Here is a 21,806-nt window from a genome sequence, read left to right as displayed (position 1 = left end):
ATTCTAAATGCTGAGGATACAGCAATAGGAAAAAGAAAAATCCCTGTCTCAATCAAGCTTCTTGGTAATAGTCTTAGGACCTAATGATAGCATCAGCACAGAAATAATTTTATTGTGATGTTCCACAATTCATACAGAAAATGATATTTGCTAGTCATTTCGGGCCTAGGGCTAAAATCACTTTTAATCAATGACAAAAAACAAATATACCACTTATAATCAATGATAAAAAAACAAATTTGACTTCCTTACTACTACTACTAGTCCTTTTTGATTACAGCTTATATAAACATGAAATATTCATTTGTAATAAAAAATGCGATACAAATAAATCTATAAAACTATTTGCTACTATGTATATATAAATATTTTTTAAATGGCTTGGATACATTTTGATGTTAGTACACCAAATGAATTTGTAGCACACTTTAAAAATGTTTCTTAAAATGCTTACAAGTACAAATATATATCTTTTCATATTAAAAATTAATGAGTGGATTATTCAAAGACAGGAAATGATATACTCATTTTGATTAACATTTAATAACTCAAATAGTATTAATTAATCAAGTAATTAGGAAACTTACAACTTTTGTACTTCACTTTTATATTATAATGAGCTTTATAATAGACAATAAGTATAGTAAATTAAATTTTAAATAAATGTTTACCAAGTATGTATAACATTGAATTTGAGTTCTAATATAATTTCTAGTTTAAAATATAGATAAAATTACAGCTAATCCAAAAATTGCCAAACTGATTGCAGAAATATTGGTACCCAGATCAGGAATGCTGGGTTCCTGTGGAGGAATAAAGTTAGTTGCTTGTGCAATGTTTGAAACCTCTGAGGTGACATTGGCTTCATGGATGGCTTGAATTGCAATATAGAATGTCGTACCATTCTCTATTTTAGAAGGTTCTGGTTTAAATTCAAAACTTTCTACTGAACCAGGCTCCTTAGGTATCAGACCAGAAGTATTTATTAAAGCAGCTTTATCAAAATCTTCTTGGAGGTCCAGGAAATGTTTACTTATTCTTATAATGTAGCTCTCAGCTGGAAAACAAATAGATACTTCAGATATATTAAAATCACTAGGATGCCTTGCTACCACCACACTGCTTTACATTTAGAAACCTATCAGAAATGCACACTAGGTTTTAGTTATGGAAATCCCATTAGTTTTTGTCTGGTTATTCCATCTTTATTGTAAGGACAAATGTGTGAACAGTTTTTCTTAAAATGTAGAGTTCTCTAATCCCAGGAAATTTTAATTCAAAATCATATGGTACTAAAAAGTCAGACTCTGGTGTTTTCCTTTTTAGGGAGAGAAATATAAGGAGCTGGATCTACTTTTTAATTTAGAACAAGGAACATAATAGTATTGTAGTATAGCGAAGATATTCAGTACCCTATATCTGTGTCATTTCTTATTAAGTTAAAATAGGAAGTAATAGGACAGGGGAGAAAGAGAGATGATAAATGGAGTGGGAAACAGGGATAAGGATAACCAGCAAAAGGAGGCAGAGAGACTGGAATGTGTACTAATTAAACACGTGCTAAGCAGAAAGACAAACATCGCAAGTTCTCACTTATTTGTGGGATCTAAAAATCAAAACAATTAAACTCATGGACATACAGAGTAGAAGAATGGTTCCTAGAGGCTGGGAAGGGTAGTGGGGGACTGGGTAGGAGAAGGTGGGGATGGTTAATGGGCACAAAAAAACAGTTAGAAAGAATGAATAAGACCTACTATTTGACAGCACAACAGAGTGACTATAGTCAATAGTCAAAAATAACTTAATTATACATTTAAAAATAACTAAAGGAGTGTAGTTGGGTTGTTTGTAACATAAAGGATAAATGCTTGAGGGGATGGATACCCCATTCTCCATGATGTGATTATTTCACATTGCATGCCTGGATCAAAATCTCATGTACCCTATAAATATATACACCTACTATGTACCCACAAAAATTAAAAATTTAAAAATATGAAAATAAAAAATAAAAGTAAATATGTGTTAAGGACCTAGACAAACCTTGAGTAGCACCCTAATTTTACTACTTGCTAGCTGTGTCATAAAAAGAAATTTATTTAAGATATCTTTTCTTTTTTTTTTCTTTTCTTTTCTTTTTTGAGACAGAGTCTTGCTCTGTCGCCAGGCTGGAGTGCAGTGGTGCCATCTCAGCTCACTGCAACCTCTGACTCCCTGGTTCAAGTGATTCTCCTGCCTCAGCCTCTCGAGTAGCTGGGATTACAGGCATGCGCCACCATGCCCAGTTAATTTTTTTTTTTTTTTCAGTAGAGAAGGGGTTTCACCATTTTGGCCAGGATGGTCTCGATCTCCTGACCTTGTGACCCGCCCACCTCGGCCTCCCAAAGTGCTGGGATTACAGGCATGAGCCACCGCACCCCGACTTAAGTTTCCTTATCTCTAGTTTTTTATCTGTTAAAATAGGGATTCAGTTATTCAAATCATTCAACAAATATTTATTGAGTGCCTACTATTCTAGTGGTAAGAATCATAGATGATAATGCATGAAACATGTTCACTACAATTTAATAAATGGTAAATTAATAAATGTTTGAAATATTGGCTGTTATTTTATCAAGAAAGGAAAAGAAGATGCCAACATAAATGTTTCTTTCTACACTGCTTTTTGATATCTACCATTCATGTAGAAATATATTCTCACATTCTGAAATGTGATGAAAAATAAAACACCAGATTTTTTTTGGAGTAAGGACTTTATTTTTAACTTTTCCATGAAATATTGAAGGTATTTCAAGTGTGTGGTGAATAACTTTTAGTGTATTTTTAAAAATAATTCAGATCCTCTGCTTAACATTTAGTTTCCTTTTAAATAGGCCTTATCAATCCGTTCTACTACTCTTCACAAAAACCTTGTGTTCCACTTACGTAGGTCTCTCTGTCTCTCTTCTCTCCACCTATTTCTTATTTTAATTAGAATATTCCATTGTGAAATTTTGCTTTCTTGACCTTGATCATATAATTTTGTTCTTTCTCTCTCCAAAATGTACCTCCTTCTCCCTATATATGCAAATTGTACTCATTCTTTAAGGTCCAACCAAGCCCAACTGCATGAAGTTCCGTCCAAGTATTTCATTCACCCTGATGACTCTCTTTCATGAACTTCTGTTTCATGGAGTGGAGTTTTTCAGATAGTTTAGTAGAGGTTCAACTTTTCATTCTGATTAGATCTTATTATTTTTGAGGGTAAAGACTATGTTTTTTACTCTTTGTATCACTCAGGGTACCTGGTCCTGTGTTGACATGTATTTGATCTCCTTAATTACTTGGCCAACAATACAGTTGTTAAGTTGACACCCAAAATGATAAAATTAGAAAATCATAAAAAATTTGAATTATATCTACTTGTTTTAGTAATTTTAGGTAATCTAATCTAATTTGTATATTTGACAGGTGAGGAAATTGTGTCCCAGGTAATTTAAGTGCTTCATTTGAGATTATATAGACGTTCATTTATTCTTTAAGATACTGCTACTATCTTACCTTTGGAATATCTACAGGTAACATTTAACAGGTACCAATACCTCTTCCTATTTTTCCTAAGGAAAGACAAAGATTAGATGCCACCTATTTTAGGCATTTGTGGTTATACATTACTCCTACTTTTAGTTCTTATAATCAGCATGAGGGATATTTATTATGAACCCAATCTTGAACTGAAAGCTTGGTTTTTACTGAATTCACTATAGAACTAAATATTTGGTTAAGAAATTTCATTTGTGGCTTTTTCAGTGGCAATGGTATTTTTCACTTTTTTTGATTCTGCCATATGTTTAAGGGTCATAGCATGAGAAAATAAGGTATGCAAAAAGCTGTCATGATAAGATTTTCAACATTGAAATACAAAAGCTCTGTTTGTGCATATTCTGTTTCCTCTGACTTTAGAATGATATTCTCCTTGTATAATAATGATAATAAGAAATGCAGCTTTTAAAATGCTATATAGTGAGTGAAAGATTAAGAAGCATCTTTTCTTTTGAGAGTGTACAATGGGGTTTATTGTAATCCAGGAGAAAGAGTACTGGAACACTGGTGTTTTAGCACTGGCAATCTCTGAGCTATTATGTATATCTAAATTGCATATTGCTTTCATTTTCCCAATCTTAAAGGGAAAATAGCAAGACTGGCGTTATCCCATAAAAATCTACTAACCTATGTAATACTGGAATATGGTAGGCATTCAATAAATACTGATTGAATTCAGTTAAATTTCAAGCAATGACAGAAGTAATTTAAACTTTTTGGAGTGAGGGTCATTTATCATTAGGAACTTTGAATAAATGAGATCTTTTGACCTTGAACTTTATTCAAACTCCATGAACAAATCTTTCAAACTAGTGAATTTCTGTGCACATGAACATCTCTCTCTGTGGACACCTTCACTTATCTTGGGTAACTACTCTCATTCTTCAATACTCAGTGATAGTCTTCTCTGGGAAGGCTTTACAATATACTCTGATTTTAACCTCTAACTAGGGGTTTGTGGCCCATCTATGGGTTGCCACATAATTCTCTGTTTATAAAAGCTTATGTCTTATTATACTTTATGTAATTATCTGTTTACTTGTGTGTCTTCTGTACTTAATTGACTGTTGAGAGTATGGATCATTTCTTAGGATTCTAATAGTGTGAAAGCTCAACAGAAGGTTGATAAATGAATGAAACTGTGCAAGTACAGAAATACTTAAAATTTGGGGAGAAGATAATGCAACAGAAAGCTGTTAACTGTCCTCTCAAAGTAATTTCTAAGCTGCTTCAATTTCTGACAGATAGTTTGGCATAACAGAATCTGACATGACTGGGTTAGAATTGTAAGTTACTAAATATAGAAATAACTTGGTCCAATCAACTCTTATAGCTTTAGTTTTCACATCTGAAAATAATTTAAAAATGGCCTATAGTAGACACTTCATAAATGTTATTTATAAATGGGCCATTAGAAAATTCTTAGCAAATGAAAGCCAATGGGATTTCTTTTAGTATATTTTAAAACGTAATGTCAAACTTACCTCTTCCTTTATCGAGGACCTTGCCAGGGGCAGTCCATGAAAGTTGAATATGATCTCCTTGAAACTTAGCCTCGAGGTCTACAATTTTACCAGGTGAGAACACCTGAGAATGATTACCATTAGGAGGCACTCCTGATACAGTAAACGACCCTCCAGAGATGAGTCTGCTGAAGTCGTCTGTTTGAGCTCCTTCCACATCATCTGTGACTTCAGGTTTGGATGGGTTCAGTATAATTTTTCCTACCAAGAAAAAATTTTGTAATATTTCATATTGCCATGTCTACTCTTTTATTTTATTTTTTATTTTTTTTGTTTTGTTTTTTGAGATGGAGTCTCGCTCTGTCGCCCAGGCTGGCTGAAGTGCAGTGGCGTGATCTCGGCTCACTGCAACCTCCGCCTCCTGGGTTTAAGCGATTTTCCTGCCTCAGCCTCCCGAGTCGCTGGAACTACAGTCGCCCGCCACAACGCCCAGCTAATTTTTGTATTTTGGTAGAGACGGGGTTTAGCCATGTAGGCCAGGCTGGTCTGGAACTCCTGACCTCAGGTGATCCACCCTCATCGGCCTCCCAAAGCGCTGGGATTACAGGTGTGAGCCACCGCGCCCGGCAGCGGTGCCTATTCATCTTGCAAGCTGATCTTGCAGCTGTAGAGGCTTAATATTGATTGGCAGACATTGAAAAAGTAACAGTTTTTACTGAGAAAACACTTGTTTATTCATATTTTAAAATTGATGAGGAAACATTATGCTATGTTAAAACTATCTTTTAACTTCTCTGTCTCTACTACTTGACTGCAAATTCTTTGAGGAACAGGATTATGTTTTGTCTTTGTAGCTCTAGCACCTAAGCACAGTGCTTGCAACATAGTAGGTGCTCAGTAATTTTTTTTTCAATGTAAATGAAATGAACTCAGGGAGATGTGAACAAAATATGTGGAAACATAGGTCTATGCTAGGTCTACTAATATCAACATGGTTTTGAAACATACAGATGATTACAAGGTTATATACTTGGGCTTTCTGTAGTACATTATATTTTCAATGTTTGCCGTATGGAATTTATCTAAACAAGTGACACATTTCTATTTTAGTGCTACTTACCATTTTCAGCATAGCGCGGTACATACAGAGCTTTATTCTGTTGTTGACTTAGCCTAGCTGTGTTTTTTCTTGCCTGGGTAAGCACTTTTAAACTGTATCTACCATTTCCATGGTAATCTGTAAAATACCTTGAGTAGATGCCATCATTCTTGACAGAATCAGCACCTTGATAATGAAATGTAAAAATTAGTCATACAATAAAGTAAAAATGACAGTCATATCTGTTTATGAACACTGATAATGTTAGTAATTTGGGAGATAGTATGTAGCACAGCGTTTTAAGTACATGAATTCTGGAATCAGACTATTTTGGTTGAAAGCTTGGGCCACTTGCTAACTCTGTGTTTTTGGAAAAGTCTAATTCATGGAAGGGATTCAATTAATATTAGCTGTTACTATTATTTCATAAAAAATACTTATCAAAATAAGAAAAAGCAACTGAAGAAAGCATATATGAAACACTGACATTAATGAAAATAGAGAAAAATTGTGCTCTTAAGTTCCATGGAAAAAGCAAAATTGTTCATAAAATTTAAAAATGGCATAAGTGCTATGTCTATGAGTTGTCAAGATAACTGAGAAAAAAGTTTTTAAAACATTAGGATTAAATTTCATTTACTTAAAAATATGATTCATTAGCAAATACAGGAAATATTGACTTCTAGGTCATAGAACTGTAGGAGGATTTTAAGTTTAGTGGAAGTTGATGTAGATTCTTATTACCTGCGCCATTGTCCCAGAGCTCCAATGTTACTTGATGTCCCTCTTCATTTTCTATAATGGCTGTTACATTGATTCCCAGAACAGGAAGAAACCCTTGACTGACTCATGCATAAACAATCACTGGGCTAGGGTAATGAGCTGTATTTTGACTCATGTGAGCAGTTGCAATTACTGGGAGTGTGGTAGGGCTTCTTGCTCGAGTGGTCATTGTCACAGTTAGCAATTGAGATTTGGTATGATTGTTTCGAACGCTGTAAGTCCAAGTGCCTGTCTGAAACATTAAAAAAAAATCTGTCTGAGAGCTTTGGTAATATTTTCCTACTTTTTGTTTGGAATACAAAATTATTTACAAATTTAAGCAGAATAATAATCATGATTTTTAATATTGAATTTCACAAACTAGTAAATAGTATGAATATGAATCCCTAATTATTCCATTTGATTTCTTTATTACAGATGATCTGTCATCATTTTAATATTGGCAATGTATAAGATGTTATCTATGTTATTTTTATCTTTTAAAAATAGAAATTGATTAAGAAAACTTAGAGAACATAAAATAATAGACCTACCTCTGCAATACCTGGTATTCGAAGACGGGCAGACCGAATATTTAGTTCACCTTCTTGAAAATCTGAGGTAGTATATTTTTTTCTTTTGGATCTTGAAGAATTATTGCTGGCTTTTGTATCGTCCATGTGACAACAAAGGAAGTATCATTTCTAACTGTACTATCCACAGGCACTGTACCATTTATCCATTTCTTCGCTGGGATATTCAAAGTTTTACTTTCCAACTGTTCGGTAAATAAAAACAACAAACACATGAAATCCATTTGTTATCATAGTTAATAAAATTTCCGAGTTTAGTCAGTTTAGAGTAATTTTGTTTGTTTTTAAGATTTCAATTAAAATAACTAAGAGTTATTTTAAAGAATTTTCCAAATGAAAAGGATACCTAATTCTAAAGAATAGAAGAATTCGGGAGAAGATGTGGCTTTAAGTGTTATGGAAAATCAAATTCAGTAAGGAAGTTTTTCTTCTGCATATCTGAAATATTTTCAGGCAAAAGAATTATTTGAGAGATAGGAGTTAATAATTAGGATAATATAAATTTATTACAACTGTGAGAAAGAAAATAGTTTTTTTTTACACTGACCTGAAGAGCCTGCTGAGAGATGCTGCCACTTCTAGATGAAATTCTGCTGAAAGCATCAATAAGGCCATTTATGTTTTTATGGGCATAAAAACGATGTCCTCCTAAAATCGAATTTTAAGTGGAAAAGTCATATTTGTTATTTTGCTCTCATCAATACACTTTAAAATCTATTTTAAAATTTTGTTTTAAACTTACAAAAGATGAACTTCCCAGCACTTTATGAACTTTCAGTATATCAGTGTCCCTTATGTAATCCTACAATAATAATTAAAACCTTGCTCAAAATAAGAAAGATAAGTAAGAATAAAAGAAACTTTAAAGAACAGGCCAAATTGTATTGTTTTTACATCAATCAGTCATCAAATGTAAGTGCCTGCCGCATTGGTAAAGCTGGTCTAAGCACTAAACAATGTTATAAAAATGAAATTTAAGATAGTTCTGAACCAGCTGTTTATCTTCTAGTTGGGTCTAAGGTACACCAAAACAATTAGAGAATTACAGTCTACAATAAATTAAAAATTAAGTGCAGGAAATAAATAACGTAGAAATTAATGAAGAGAGAGATTACTTAGGTGTAAGGAGTTAGGAAAGGATAGATTGCAGAGGGCAAGAATTAACGCAAGTGACTGCCACAAATACAACAGTCAATACATATTTATTGAACTGATAAATGGCAGAAAAATAAGCTGGAAGGTTATTGAAGTATCCCAGTCAGGGAATTGTAAGGGCTGGATTATAATGGCAGTGGTAGAAGGATTGTATAGAAAGGTGAAATACAGAAATGTTCCAAACGAAGATTTAGCAAGATTTGGTGAAGCAAGAATAGGGTAGTACGGTGGAAGAGCTCTGAATTGAGAATCAGGACTCTATGGCCTTTGGCAAATCATTTGCACTCTCTAGGTTTCCATTTCCTCATCTATAAAAGAAGATTGTCAAAATCTCTACTGTGTGATTGGGTAGTATTTTGGAATTAAGCAATAATTTTTGACTTCCAGTTGAGTAACCATAGAGAAATAAGTTTCTGTTTAGTAGCATTGGCAGAAACTGGGCGGGGAATGAAGACAGCAAATGTTAAATAACATTAGAAAAAAACTGGTGTATGAAGTGGAAGAAAGGGAAAAGAACTTAATCTGAAGGATGAAGAAGGGACAAAGATTAATTTTTAGGATATGAAAATTTTGAGCAGATTTATAGAGAAAGAACCCCTGGAATGGGAGAGACTAGAAATTTATTTTTTATTCAAACTATATGCCAAAGGTTTACCTGTCATATTTGACAGGGTCTCCAGTTCTTCGTCAGCAGACGGCCCCAGAGCAATGGTGTGGATGACTGTGCCACTTTGTTTTACCTCTCCAAAGCATAAGCTTATTTGATAATCTTCCCCATCTGTTAGTAATATGATTTCAGAACCGAAAGTACTCTGATTACTCTGGGGAATTGCCTGATAATGAAAAAGCCAGGTTATTAATTATAGAATGTCATATCTTTATACATATATATATATATATTTTTTTTTTTTTGAGATGGAGTTTTGCTCTTGTTGCCCATGCTGGAGTGCAATGACACAGTCTTGGCTCACTGCAACCTCCACTTCCCAGCTTCTAGTGATTCTCTTGCCTCAGCCTCCCAAGTAGCTGGGATTACAGGCGCCCACCACCATGCCTGGCTAATTTTTATATTTTAGTAGATATGGGGTTTCACCATGTTGGCCAGGCTGGTCTTGAACTCTTGACCTCAGGTGATCTGCCTGCCTCTGCTTCCCAAAGTGCTGGGATTAGGCGTGAGCCACCATGCCTGGCCCATATCTTAATATATTTAAAATAAGAATAAACCTGTTCTTCTTACTCAGGATTTCCTGCCTTCTTAAACTAACACATTTCATCACAAATAGACACTATGAGGAAAGTTGAGATGTAGTATTAATCAATGGCCTGGATAAGACTAGCAATCTCCATTTTGAGGCAAAGAGAGGTCAGTGAAGGAAGTAGTTTTCTGTTTTTGTGGCTTAAAACATGACAGTAAATAGGCTTAAATGAAAGTTAGGTTGGAAGGAATTCAAATGAGTACTGGAGGCAATTGGGTATAGTGCTCCAAAGGTGCTCCCAATTTTTTGAGTTCACAATTTTAATTACATTAAACTTCAATCTATGTTTGTTAGGTTTGGTACTATATTGCGTATGGAGCTACCTCTATCTTTATGATTATTTTTTCTTTCTTTTTTTTTAGACAGGGTCTCACTCTGTTGCCCAGGCTGGAGTACAGTGACATGATCGTGGCTCATTGCAATCTCTGCCTCTAGAGCTCAAGCCATCCTCCCATCTCAGCCCCCTAAGTAGCGGGGGCTACAGGCACACACCACCATGCCTGGCTGATTTTATTTTTTGTAGGGGCAAGATTTCCCCATGTTGGCCAAGTTGGTCTCCTACTCCTGAGCTCAAGCGATCTGCCTGCCTCAGACTCCCAAAGTGCTGGGATTCAGGCATGACCCACCGTACCTGGCTTATTTTTATGACTTTTAATTTTTTTTAATTTTTAAAATTTGTAATTTATTTATTTATTTATTTATTTATTTATTTATTTATTTATTTTTGAGACAGAGTTTTGCTTTGCTGCCCAGGCTGGAGTGCAATGGTGCGATCTCAGCTCACTGCAACCTCCACCTCCTGGGTTCAAGCGATTCTCCTGCCTCAGCCTCCAGAGTAGCTGGGATTACAAGCTTGCACCACCATGCCCGGCTAATTTTTGTTTTTTAGTAGATATGAGGCTTCACCATGTTGGTCAGGCTGGTCTTGAACTCCTGACCTTAGGTGATCCACCTGCCTTGGCCTCCTAAAATGCTGGGATTACAGGCGTGAACCACCGCATCCAGCCTCTTTGTGATTTTTAAATGTCAATTTAACTTGATAAACTGGGGCTTTCCTTATCCATCATATGGAAATGTTACTAATTTCCCTTTTCCATAATCCCCTCATTGGCATTATTTTCTGATCCTTGAAACTCAGACTGTGGGAGTGTTAGAAAAATGGGGAGCTCCCCAATAAAATCATGATTGTGTGCAGGCTGAAATTTTCCCCACTTACTTAACCACTCCCCAGTGCAACTTAGCACCTCAGGAGTATGTCATTGGAATAGCCATACTCAGAGAGGGTCTAGTTGTAAACAGTAGGAAAGGCTATTTTTTTCTTCCCATAAATGATTTACCTTGATCAGGTCATAATATTATTAATTGAGGGGCCCATGAACTCATGCCCTTTGTTCAAAGGTAACTGGAGAAAATTAAAAGCAATAGTAAATGGCAAATGATATTTTAAAAATATTTTTATTTTACCTGAAATCCTGCTTTGAGTCCCCTGCAAATTGAAGTGCCACCATCAGCTTCTTGAGGCAGGTTTGCAGTGATCTTTTGGTAAGTGTTATCATCAATTATTTTTATGAGCTTACTTTGGATTTTAGCAAAACTGTCAAATGTGACCAACCCAACCAAGGATCCCTTTTCAATAATTTGAATCAAGTACAATTCTGCTGCTTGATTCATTCGAAAGAGACGGTCTTCCTGTAAGAAAAAGATTTGTGAATAACTCACAAGACTCTCCAAATCTTGATGGATTAATGAACGGCAAACCATTTATGGACCATAGGTCATGATAATAATTGATTGGTTGTATTTTAAAATTTAGCTTCTTCATTTTATTTAAAAAATTTAAAGAAAATCTTAAAAATTCAGTTATACTTGAAAAAGCCTTAAAAATCTATACCTTTTTATTTAATTGTATATTGAGGAATTTCTCCTAAAGAAATAATTTTATAAATGCATACAAAGATGCTCATTTAAAAAATAACAAGTGAAAATCTCCCAACTGTCCAACAACAGGAGATTGCTTGATGAAATTATAGTATGGGCATGTTATACAGCCATTAAAAATTATGTCATGGAATCATTTTTTTCATGGGGAATATTAAAGATATATTAAGTAAAAATCATCAGATTATAAAACATTATATAAAATATAATCATATTTTTGAGGAGGGAAAACAAATACATTAGCAAAGAAAAGACTAAAGTATCATATTTTCAATGACAGAATTATGGATGATTTTCATTTTCTTGCTTGGCTATAATTTTTCTAGTTAGAACTAAAAGTTAAGGAATAAAAATGACTCATAATCCAATCTCTGTCACCCAGGCTGGAGTGCAGTGGTGCAGTCTTGGCTCACTGCAACCTCCACCTCCTGGGTTCAAGCAATTCTCCTGCCTCAGCCTCCCAAGTAGCTGAGATTACAGATGTGCATCACCACTCCCAGCTAATTTTTGTATTTTTAGTAGAGACAGGGTTTCACCATGTTGGCCAGGCTGGTCTCAAACTCCTGACCTCAGGTGATCCACCAGCCTTGGCCTCCTAAAGTGCTGGGATTACAGGTGTGAGCCACTGCACCCAGCCTACAACATTTTTCTGTTGGCATATTGTCTTCTAGTACTTATCTATATAAGATTATGTGCTAAAATTTATTAGAACATAAATACATATGTATGTTTGTTACCAAAACTAAACCTAAGATTATATTTCCATCAGCCTAAATACTTAATACTTATATTTCTAGTAGCTTAAATACTTAAATAATTTAAGACAGTTAACCAAAAACTATCTTACTGCATTCATGCTTCCAGATTTATCAAGTACCAAACAGACTACACGCTGTTTGGACTTGAGCAATGAAAATGTAGGACGAGGTAAATTTATTTCTGTCATGGGAGATAAATGCTGAAAATCTTCAGAGCTCATGATTACATCCCATGTGCTTCTGTGATTGCACATTTTGTTCTATAGGTTTGGAGCTTCTTTATTGTGTGTTTTTTCAGTACAAAATTCAGTCACCTGGAAAAAAATCAATTAGAAGACAAGATTACAATAACTTGTGAGGCATCAAATATGTAGTTATCTGTCATACATATCATCCACAGATTTTATCTCCTGATAGTTAAAAACTACTTTATAATCTAACATTCTGACATCCATTTGCATATCAGAATGGAACGGAAGCAAGGTAAAGCTATCAATATGTACTGGTAAAGATTTTTGGTGATTCTTTTGGTTATAGATAGTTACATCAGTGGTGGATTGTGGCAGCTGGCACGACTGCTTATGTTAACTTTTTACTTTCCCTTCTAAACTTTGGGGGAGCTCAAGCCTTGAATTAAGTTTGAGGAAAAAGGGGCAGGGCTTGTGGTAATTTCTAGCTACCTCCTAAAAATGGTATAGAGAAAATGGCCTTCTTTAATTATCTAGGTATGTTCCATATCTTCATAGTTGATCAAAAACTTGAGGACAGCTATTCTACAACCTGGATTGCTATTGGCTCTGGCAAATTTTGACATACAGTAATACTCCTGAAAAAGGAATGAAAGTATAGGGAGAAAATGAGGAAATATAATTATTTGTCTGTTAGAGGCAAGTGGTGAATTGTATCCAGTAATTCTGCCAATGAATATTTCATTACTATAGAATCTGTGAAAATTTTTTAAATATTGAAAACGTAGTAACTTGGAAAAATGTTCTCATAAACTAGGGTGGTCTCCAAGAAGGAATTCATCTTGCTACTGCAAGATGAGCCTCAGCTTACAAGAAATATTTTTAGTCATTTCATTATTTTAATGCCCTCCCAAAGTAAAATATCCAAATGTAAGCTCAGAATTAGAAGAACTAAATTATTACATTTGAATACCTTTTATCTAAGTTTTATGAGTTTGCTTTGTTTCTGATGATACATTTCCCAAATGGGGTTATATTGGATGGGAGAAAAATGTAGTTTGCAATCAAAGCAGTGATTCATAACCAAGTCTTGCTGGTATGAAATGCCTATCAAACCTGGTTCCTCTTTCCCCTACCACTGCCACTGCCTTTATTTGGGCCTCTTACCTACCTGTTGCTATGGCCTTCCAACTGGTCTCCCTTGCCTCCACTATCAACTCTCTCTATCTCATCCTTCACAATTAGTAGGATTACTTTCCTGAAATAATTAAACTTATCACATCACCAGTCTAAAACTGAGAGGATAAAACTCAAACACCTTAGCTCTGTATGTCCCCATTTTTTGTTTCAACCTAATTTCCTGCCTCTTACTCACCATGTATTATTTGCTTCTACCATACTGGATTTCTTTATATCCTTAGAATATGCCAGAAACTTTCATTAGGGTCTTTGCTAACCCAAATGGTAATTTTGTGCAAATCAGAAAAAAGCACCAGTTTCTCAAGTTATTTTACTGTTATCTGCCAGAAAGTTGTTCTAATAAGTGTTAAAATCTTGAATGACCATGATGCAAATAATTTAGGCAATGCTGAACTTCCAGAATCATGCACAGCATCCCTGCCTTACTCCACTCTTTGCTTTTGTAAATCTGTTTCTTTGTATAGAATACTCTTCCCCTTCTCACTTTGGCAAATACATACTCACTTTTCTCAAATCCCCACTCAAAACTCACTGTTCAGAAACTGTTTTCTGACTTCCAGTTGGCAATGGTTACTGCTTCATAAAACTTGGTTCATATCTATATATGTCTTCCCACTTAATAATATGTACTTATTTTATCATATCTCTTTCTCCGTAAACTGAGTTCCTCAAGAACAGTCATCTTTAATTATATGTGTGTTCCCAGCTCTTAATGCAGTAAATACTAGGCGTAAGGAATAATAAATAATAAGGAAACAAAATCATGGAGTTGACTATTCAGCATATTAGATCATATCTTTCGTAGCTCTGAATTCATGCCCTCAGTACAGATGCTATGCAATATATTTATGTTATGATAATTAGAAGTTAGTGTTATTCTGGAAATGGAATCATTTTATCTCTGGGCCATGTCTTATATAATTAGTTGACCTCCATATTTCAGCTCCATAATCTTCTTCATTATTATTTATGTCCCAGAGGCAGCGTGAGTTATCTCCTGATGGTCAAATGCTTTTAGAATTTATGGTACGGATCAGGCAGTACATACAGTATTCTAGTTATCCTCTTGTGTCACATGATTTGATATCTATTTGTACGCATAACTCTTTGGCTAGCCTTTGTTGCTCCAGATTTAGCAGATTAAAGGGAACATTCCTGACTCGTGTGTCAAATGTAGTCAAGCCTTTTATCATTAATGCCCAAGAGAATTTTAAATTTTATCAGAGATACTGGGCCTTTACAAACCTCGGTCTATAGAAGTATTTTGATATTGGTATATGAAAATACCAATCACTACCAACAAATACTTCTATAGCAGAGGTTTGTAAAGGTATATGTCATATACCTTTGAAAATTTGGTATGTGAAAATTTGCTTCCTTGAAGTAAGTTAGTCCCACTATTTAGAGGTAGTGTACTTTGTTTTGATTTGTTGTTTTTGATAACTTTCATATATTTCATATTTTAAAATATTTTTATATGTTTAGAAATGTTCATTAGGTAAATACAATATGTTTGTATTAATTAAGATTAGACTTATCCATGGGAAGAAACAACTGGTTATTTTTCAAATATTTAATAAATTTTAAAAATTAAAAACTTAAAGTTTATAGCGCATTCAACTTGTGCTAAACACTATGCTAATACTTTATATTAGCTCTTTTAAACCCAACACGAATGACTATGTGAAGTAGGTATTATAATTCCCATATAAAAGATAAGAGAACTCAATCTCAGATTTAGCAGTTTTCCCACAGTGGACACAGCTTTAAAATGACAGACTGGGTTTCAATATCAGGTCTATCTGACTCCAAGGTACCTATTCTTATGCACTAAGCTTTATATATTTAAAGCAGATATTTCAGGTCAAACATTAGTTTTCAACTTTTTTGTGGTGTGTTATTATTTAATTGGTTAGACACATTGGTAATTGTGAATTTTTTTTTTTCTTAAGTCTTTTCAGTGGAGAAAGAGCCCTATGTGTTTTCACAATATCACTTTGCAATAGCTTGGTATGCTTTAGTGTGAAGGTAATGGAAAATCTAAAATGTCAATCCTTTTCAAAGCTACATTATAAATTTCTTTAGAAAAGTAATATGGCTAACACTTAGAAAAGGAATTAAAAGTAAGATTGTAACTCTATACAGAAGTCCACAGAAGTCAGTGAGGGAAGAGATGTGTTCTAAGAATTTATTGTGTGACTCTAATGAGAAGGCTACAGTGCTACATTTGAATAAAAGAAATAGGTTAATAAGAAAAGACAGGGTAATTTCCAGAGACACCCTGATACATGCCAGAGAAAATGACCTCTAATTAATTGCCTTAGTAATTTTCTGCCTTTCTATTGGTACGCATAATTTCACAGCAGAAAATCCAGCTTCTCTAATTAATTTTTCCCCAAGGATTCCTTTGAGAAACTGGAAAAAAGGTACTTACAGAATCAAGATTTTGCATAAACACAATGGATTCCTTGGCAGTCTGGGATCTCTTTGGGATAAATGTACATTTTGCTTCATACAGCCCTGTCTTTGAGTCACGTCTGAATGGTCGTGCTATACAGCTGGCCCCCTTGCATTCGTTCAAAACCATGTAAACAGTAATACGAGTGGAACATCTATGATGAAAGAATTAGATTATATATATACGAAGAATTGGCAAATCATGAATGAAGACCAACATCCTAAAATTTTTCCTTCAGTGACAACTGCCATAGATCATGTACCAAACATTACATTTTGACAGAAATAGGCACAATATTCTACCTCAATTTGTAATCGATTTCAATTGATACAATGTTGTCAGTTCATATTTATTAAACATTAATTGGTCATTGCAATCAATAAATCTATTATCCTTGTGACTTTGAGCTAAAGATGGTAATTCCTAACCAGAGAGATGTTGTAAAGATTAGATGAGTTAAAAGGTACAGCGGAATTGCTTATTAATAGGAAAGGGAAAGACAATATTATGCTTAAAATCCTCTTCAATTTCTGTATGTGGTATTCATGGTTTTGTGTTTATAGCATTTTGTAATTTATATCTTGAGCACCACTTCACTAAACTGGTGGAAGAAATAAAACTAAACCCCGCATGAAAAGGCTTGTGCATTCAAACCATTTGGTCCTTATGGTAAAAATAATTGTCAAGTCCTTGGCAGGGAATGAGGGTCAGGGTACAGGGACAGGATTCTAAAGTTTCTGTTTATATGCAGGATATCCTCCCATTCTGTGTTAATATTAAACTTCATAACATTAATCCATTTTAATAAGTTTGTATTGCAAGGATTTAGGGACATGAGGAGTCATATTTTCCAGAGGGTTAGTTCTTGAGTAAGCTTGAAAATTAAACTTACATATGATGAGACTTCACTGCTTGAAAGTGCCTGACACACAGTAGGAGCTCAATAAATGTTTTAGATACTTGTTTTTACTAATATATCTATTTTTATGACTGATTATAAGGAAACTCATTTATTTTTCATGAATTTATCAAAAATTTGTTGTTTGATACATTCTTTGTTTAGCTTTTACTTTATGCCAGGTCCAACACCAGAGGATTAAAAAAATGTGCAGTTCTTAAGAATTTTAAAGTCTAATGGGGAAAATAAAATTGTATAGACAATTACTGCCCAGTGACATACGTGTGAGAGAAGCCCACACATGCTGTGGGAGTACTCTTAAGGGAATTTAACCCCAAATGGAGGGAGAGGAAAGACATTTAAGTAAGAAATATTTAAACTGAGTCTTAAAGGATGAACAGGCATTATCTGAGTAAGGGAGGAGTTGTGTAGGTGAAGTTAAGAGAAATGAGTGTCCTGCACTGAGAGGAGCCCAGTCTGTGTGAAAAACTGCAGGCAGCTCCGCGGAGATCAAACGAACAACACAATGGAGATGATGAGAGGCATTTTTCCATTACCCCTCTTTCCTCAAATACATTTTCATCGCAAAGACTTATTTCCTATTACATTAACTTCCACTGTTCTTCAATATTGTTTAAATACTCCATGTGCTTGATATTTTTAACTAAGTGTAAACATCTCATCTATTCATAATAGTGCCTGCAGCACCTAGAATTATATTTTTAAAAAATCAACTTACTACCTTACTGTTACGAAAAGTACTTTCTTTAAGATCAAGATTAAATGAAAAGTATAATATGATATTTACAAAGGAGCTCTAGCAGCTTAACTGATTTCAGTGAAACAGATTTACCTTAAAAAGTGATGAATCAAGTCAAACAAAAGAGTGGGTAGGGTTGAACCACCTATTCTCAGATATCTTGGGATTTAGGCTACAGCTTTTTCCTTCCCCTCTGCCCATAACATGTTATAGCACAGTCCCTGTGAATACTGAAATTATTTCCTGTTTTTGATTCATCTTGATGCCAAGGTGGAATCTCTAGAATTAATTGGTGGCATACATGATGGGGCAGGTTGGATATTGCAATGAACTGTTTGAACTTTCCCAGGTAGTTACCTGAGATAGCCTTTGTTTGCCTAGCATAGAAAATTAAAGAGTCATAAGTGAAAAATTTTGAAAACAGATTTGCTCAATACAATGATACCTTGTTGCTTCAGTAGTGTTTCTTCTGGAAATATAGAATGGCTGGTCCACATTATACTCATCAAATACTCCCCACCGGAGATGGGCCCACTCATGGACAAATACTCTACCTGTGAGAGAATACTGCCACTTATAAATTTATAGTTACAATATTTTAAGGTAGTTTCCTATATTTCTCTTAAACCTCTCCCCAACTTAATTGAGTCAAGGTACTCCAGAAATTGATGCCTTTTATTAGGCCAAAAAAGTTGAAATGAGTTGGTGCCAATAAACGACTCATTTTATTATTAAACACACACACACACACACACACACACACACACAGAGAAATATAATTAGGAGCATAACTAGCATGTTTTCACGTAAAGGTATTATTTACTACCTATTTTTCTCTTCTTAGTTTTGTTTTCTTGAATGATGGGATCTTGCTCTTGTTCTGTTGCTCAGATTAGAGTGCAGCGGCATGATCATAGCTCACTGCAGCCTCAAGCTCCTAGCCTCAAGCGATCCTCCTGCATCAGCCTCTTAAGTAGCTGGGACTACAGGTATGCACTCTCATGCCTGGCTAGTTTTTAAAATTTACTTTTAGTTTTTTAGAGACTGGGGGCTCACTCTGTTGTCCAGGCTGGTCTCTATCTCCTGGGCTCAAGTGATCCTCCCACCTCAGCCTCCTAAGTTGTTGGGATGACAAGTGTCAGTCACTGTGCCTGGCTTCTTTAAAATTTTTTTTTAAATGCCATTAAACATAGAGTTATTTTTTTCCACCAGTGGAAATAAGAACAGAAGTACATCATAGATATCTCTACCTCGAGGCCCATAGGTAGCCAAGTTATTAGTCAACAAGAAGTTTGGAGTAAAATGTATATATTGTCCTTTATCTCCACATTGTCCATATTGAAGTGTATAGGGATCATCTCCGTATTTCAGGTAAAGATCAGCAACTATGACATCTGCCTAAAAAGAAAAAGAACAAACAAAAACAAATTTTGAAAACAATAGAAACAAGAGATTTTAGAAACAAGGACTTTTTTTCATATACATTAAGAAAAGTTATATTACTAATTTAATTACTACATTAGTGATTAGTAATTATTAAATAATTACAGATATTAAGTTTTTAAAAGCACAGGAGGAAAGAAGCAGTTTAGGAGTTAGAAGAAATAGCCTACCTGGTCATATGATTCTTGTTTTGGGATTAAGTACTCAGATTTTGATTTGTAGGTCATTGGAATTAAAATGCTTACATTCCTGAAATAAGCTCTTTGTTTGGTGGCATGAAACAGGTAAGTAGATGCTTCAGTTACCATTTCCTGACAAAATTTAAAATACCTTGTGGTAATAATTTCATAGTGAAATGAACATAACAGTACATATATAACTAGATGAAGCAAATCTAAGCCTCCTTTCCCCAAACATTTTGGGAAAACTAATTGAAAAATAGATTGAATTTTTCTACAACTCTTCAGTCTGTAAACTCCTTATTTTCATATGCTCAAACCACCTTTTAAAATTTTTTACCTGCATTCAGCATGATGGGTTGGAGATGGAAATGAGGGTGCTGGGTGAGATTAAGGTGATTAAGACTGGGAGGCTGTTGGTAAAGTTGTTCATTTGATCAAACAGAATGGCTTCTGGTTGTTTAGATTAATTGGGAGTTTAAAGTCTGGTAGATTATTATAATTGATGTCAATTGAAAAAAAAATTTTGCTAGATTTATTTTGAGTTATCTTCTCATATGGAGTGTGTTCATAAAAGGCAAAGTTTTACCAAGTGGAAATGAAAATAGAAATACATAGGTCTCATTGGCTTCAGATCCCAGTTTTGGCACTTATTGTGAGATTTGACAAATCACTTCATTTATACAAGGGTAATAATTCTTGTTTTTGAATTCCTCATGGGGATATTGGGAGGATCAAAGAAGATAGTATATATTAAAGTGATATATAAAGTGTTTTTTATTATACTGAATAATGCAAATAAAGAAGGTACATCAATTTAAAATGTGTAATTTTTTCTTTAAGATAAGATACATATGATTTTTTTACTTTTCCAGAGTTTGAACAAGTATGAACAACTGAAAAAATGTATAGGATAAAACGCTAGAGCTTAAGTGTAGACTAGTTAGCTAAACTTTATAAAAGTAACTTTATGAAGATAAAATTTGAGAATAATTTTCTACTTGCTGTAATGTCTTTCTGTTAGCTTAACTAGTTGAAAAAATATTAGTTCAGCCTTTTAATAATTCACTGGGGAATGGCCAATAGTATTAACATATAATAAAACACATTTAAACTCAGCAGGTATTAATCTGACAGTTTAGATAAATGCTATATAAATGGTAAATACTGTTGAAGAAATTTTGGAAAGTTATCACTCAATGAATGTGTATACCTAGGCACCATGAGTTGAAAATACATATTGAAATAAAAATATGTGGATAATAAAATTTTCCCTTACCTTTATGTTTTGAATGAGTTTTTCATCTTCTGGTACACTGGGATTAATTGCAATGACAATGCCATCATATCCATTGTTATTCAAAGTTACCAGTGAGCTTTTCAATACAGGCGAGAGAAGCAAGGATAGGAAGAGAATCACCTTCAGACTGAACACCATTTTTGCATGTTAAACAAACCTTTTGGAAATGTACCAAAGGTATTTATGTATCTGCTTAACTTAGGAATTTGAATCAAGACCAAAATATTTGCATAAAGTTTGTATAGTAAATTGCTAAAATATCTTGGAGTTGCTAAGTAGCAATGGGGATTATGCTGAACACATTTATCATACTTTCTAAGACAGCTGAGGCATTAATATTCATTGGATTGGGGGGGTGGTTCCAAGATGGCCGAATAGGAACAGCTCCAGTCTACAGCTCCCAGTGTGAGCGACGCAGAAGATGGATGATTTCTGCATTTCCAACTGAGGTACTGGGTTCATCTCACTAGGGATTGTTGGACAATGGGTGAAGGATAGTGGGTGCAGTGCACTGAGTGTGAGCTGAAGCAGGGCAAGGCATCGCCTCACCTGGGAAGAGCAAGGGGTCAGGGAATTCCCTTTCCTAGCCAAGGAAAGGGGTGACAGATGGCACCTGGAAAATTGGGTCACTCCCACCCTAATACTGAGCTTTTCCAATGGCCTCAGCAAATGGCACACCAGAAGATTATATCCCGTGCCTGGCTCAGAGGGTCCTACACCCATGGAACCTCACTCATTGCTAGCACAGCAGTCTGAGATCAAACTGCAAGGCAG

The 21,806-nt window shown here is 34.6% G+C and overlaps 1 long non-coding RNA gene and 1 pseudogene across 2 annotated transcripts in view, besides 1 other annotated feature; one reads left to right on the top strand and one right to left on the bottom strand.

Annotated features, from left to right (window-relative positions):
• CLCA4-AS1 (CLCA4 antisense RNA 1) overlaps window positions 1–21,806 on the top strand; it is a 133,313-nt gene that overhangs the window by 49,030 nt on the left and 62,477 nt on the right. The window lies entirely within an intron of this gene.
• Window positions 88–21,188, bottom strand: CLCA3P (chloride channel accessory 3, pseudogene; annotated as a pseudogene). The gene is made up of 15 exons (NR_024604.1): window positions 21,012–21,188; window positions 19,724–19,864; window positions 19,361–19,508; window positions 18,556–18,664; window positions 16,429–16,606; window positions 12,696–12,920; window positions 11,375–11,599; window positions 9,310–9,487; window positions 8,242–8,301; window positions 8,047–8,147; window positions 7,461–7,684; window positions 6,889–7,159; window positions 6,166–6,330; window positions 5,067–5,306; window positions 88–1,057 (listed from the first exon to the last, which is right to left on the bottom strand). The product of NR_024604.1 is annotated as a chloride channel accessory 3, pseudogene (transcript).
• Window positions 6,658–7,857: an enhancer, noted in NCBI's record as "MED14-independent group 3 enhancer chr1:87113290-87114489 (GRCh37/hg19 assembly coordinates)". NCBI's record gives its function as "activates an origin of replication core promoter dependent on BRD2, BRD4, P300/CBP and CDK7 cofactors, and independent of MED14, by STARR-seq in HCT116 cells {active_cell/tissue: HCT116}" and the evidence as "EXISTENCE:reporter gene assay evidence [ECO:0000049][PMID:35650434]".

Source organism: Homo sapiens, chromosome 1 (genome assembly GCF_000001405.40).
Source record: "Homo sapiens chromosome 1, GRCh38.p14 Primary Assembly".
NCBI classification, from domain to species: Eukaryota; Metazoa; Chordata; class Mammalia; order Primates; family Hominidae; genus Homo; species Homo sapiens.
This window is presented reverse-complemented; position numbering and strand designations above follow the sequence as displayed.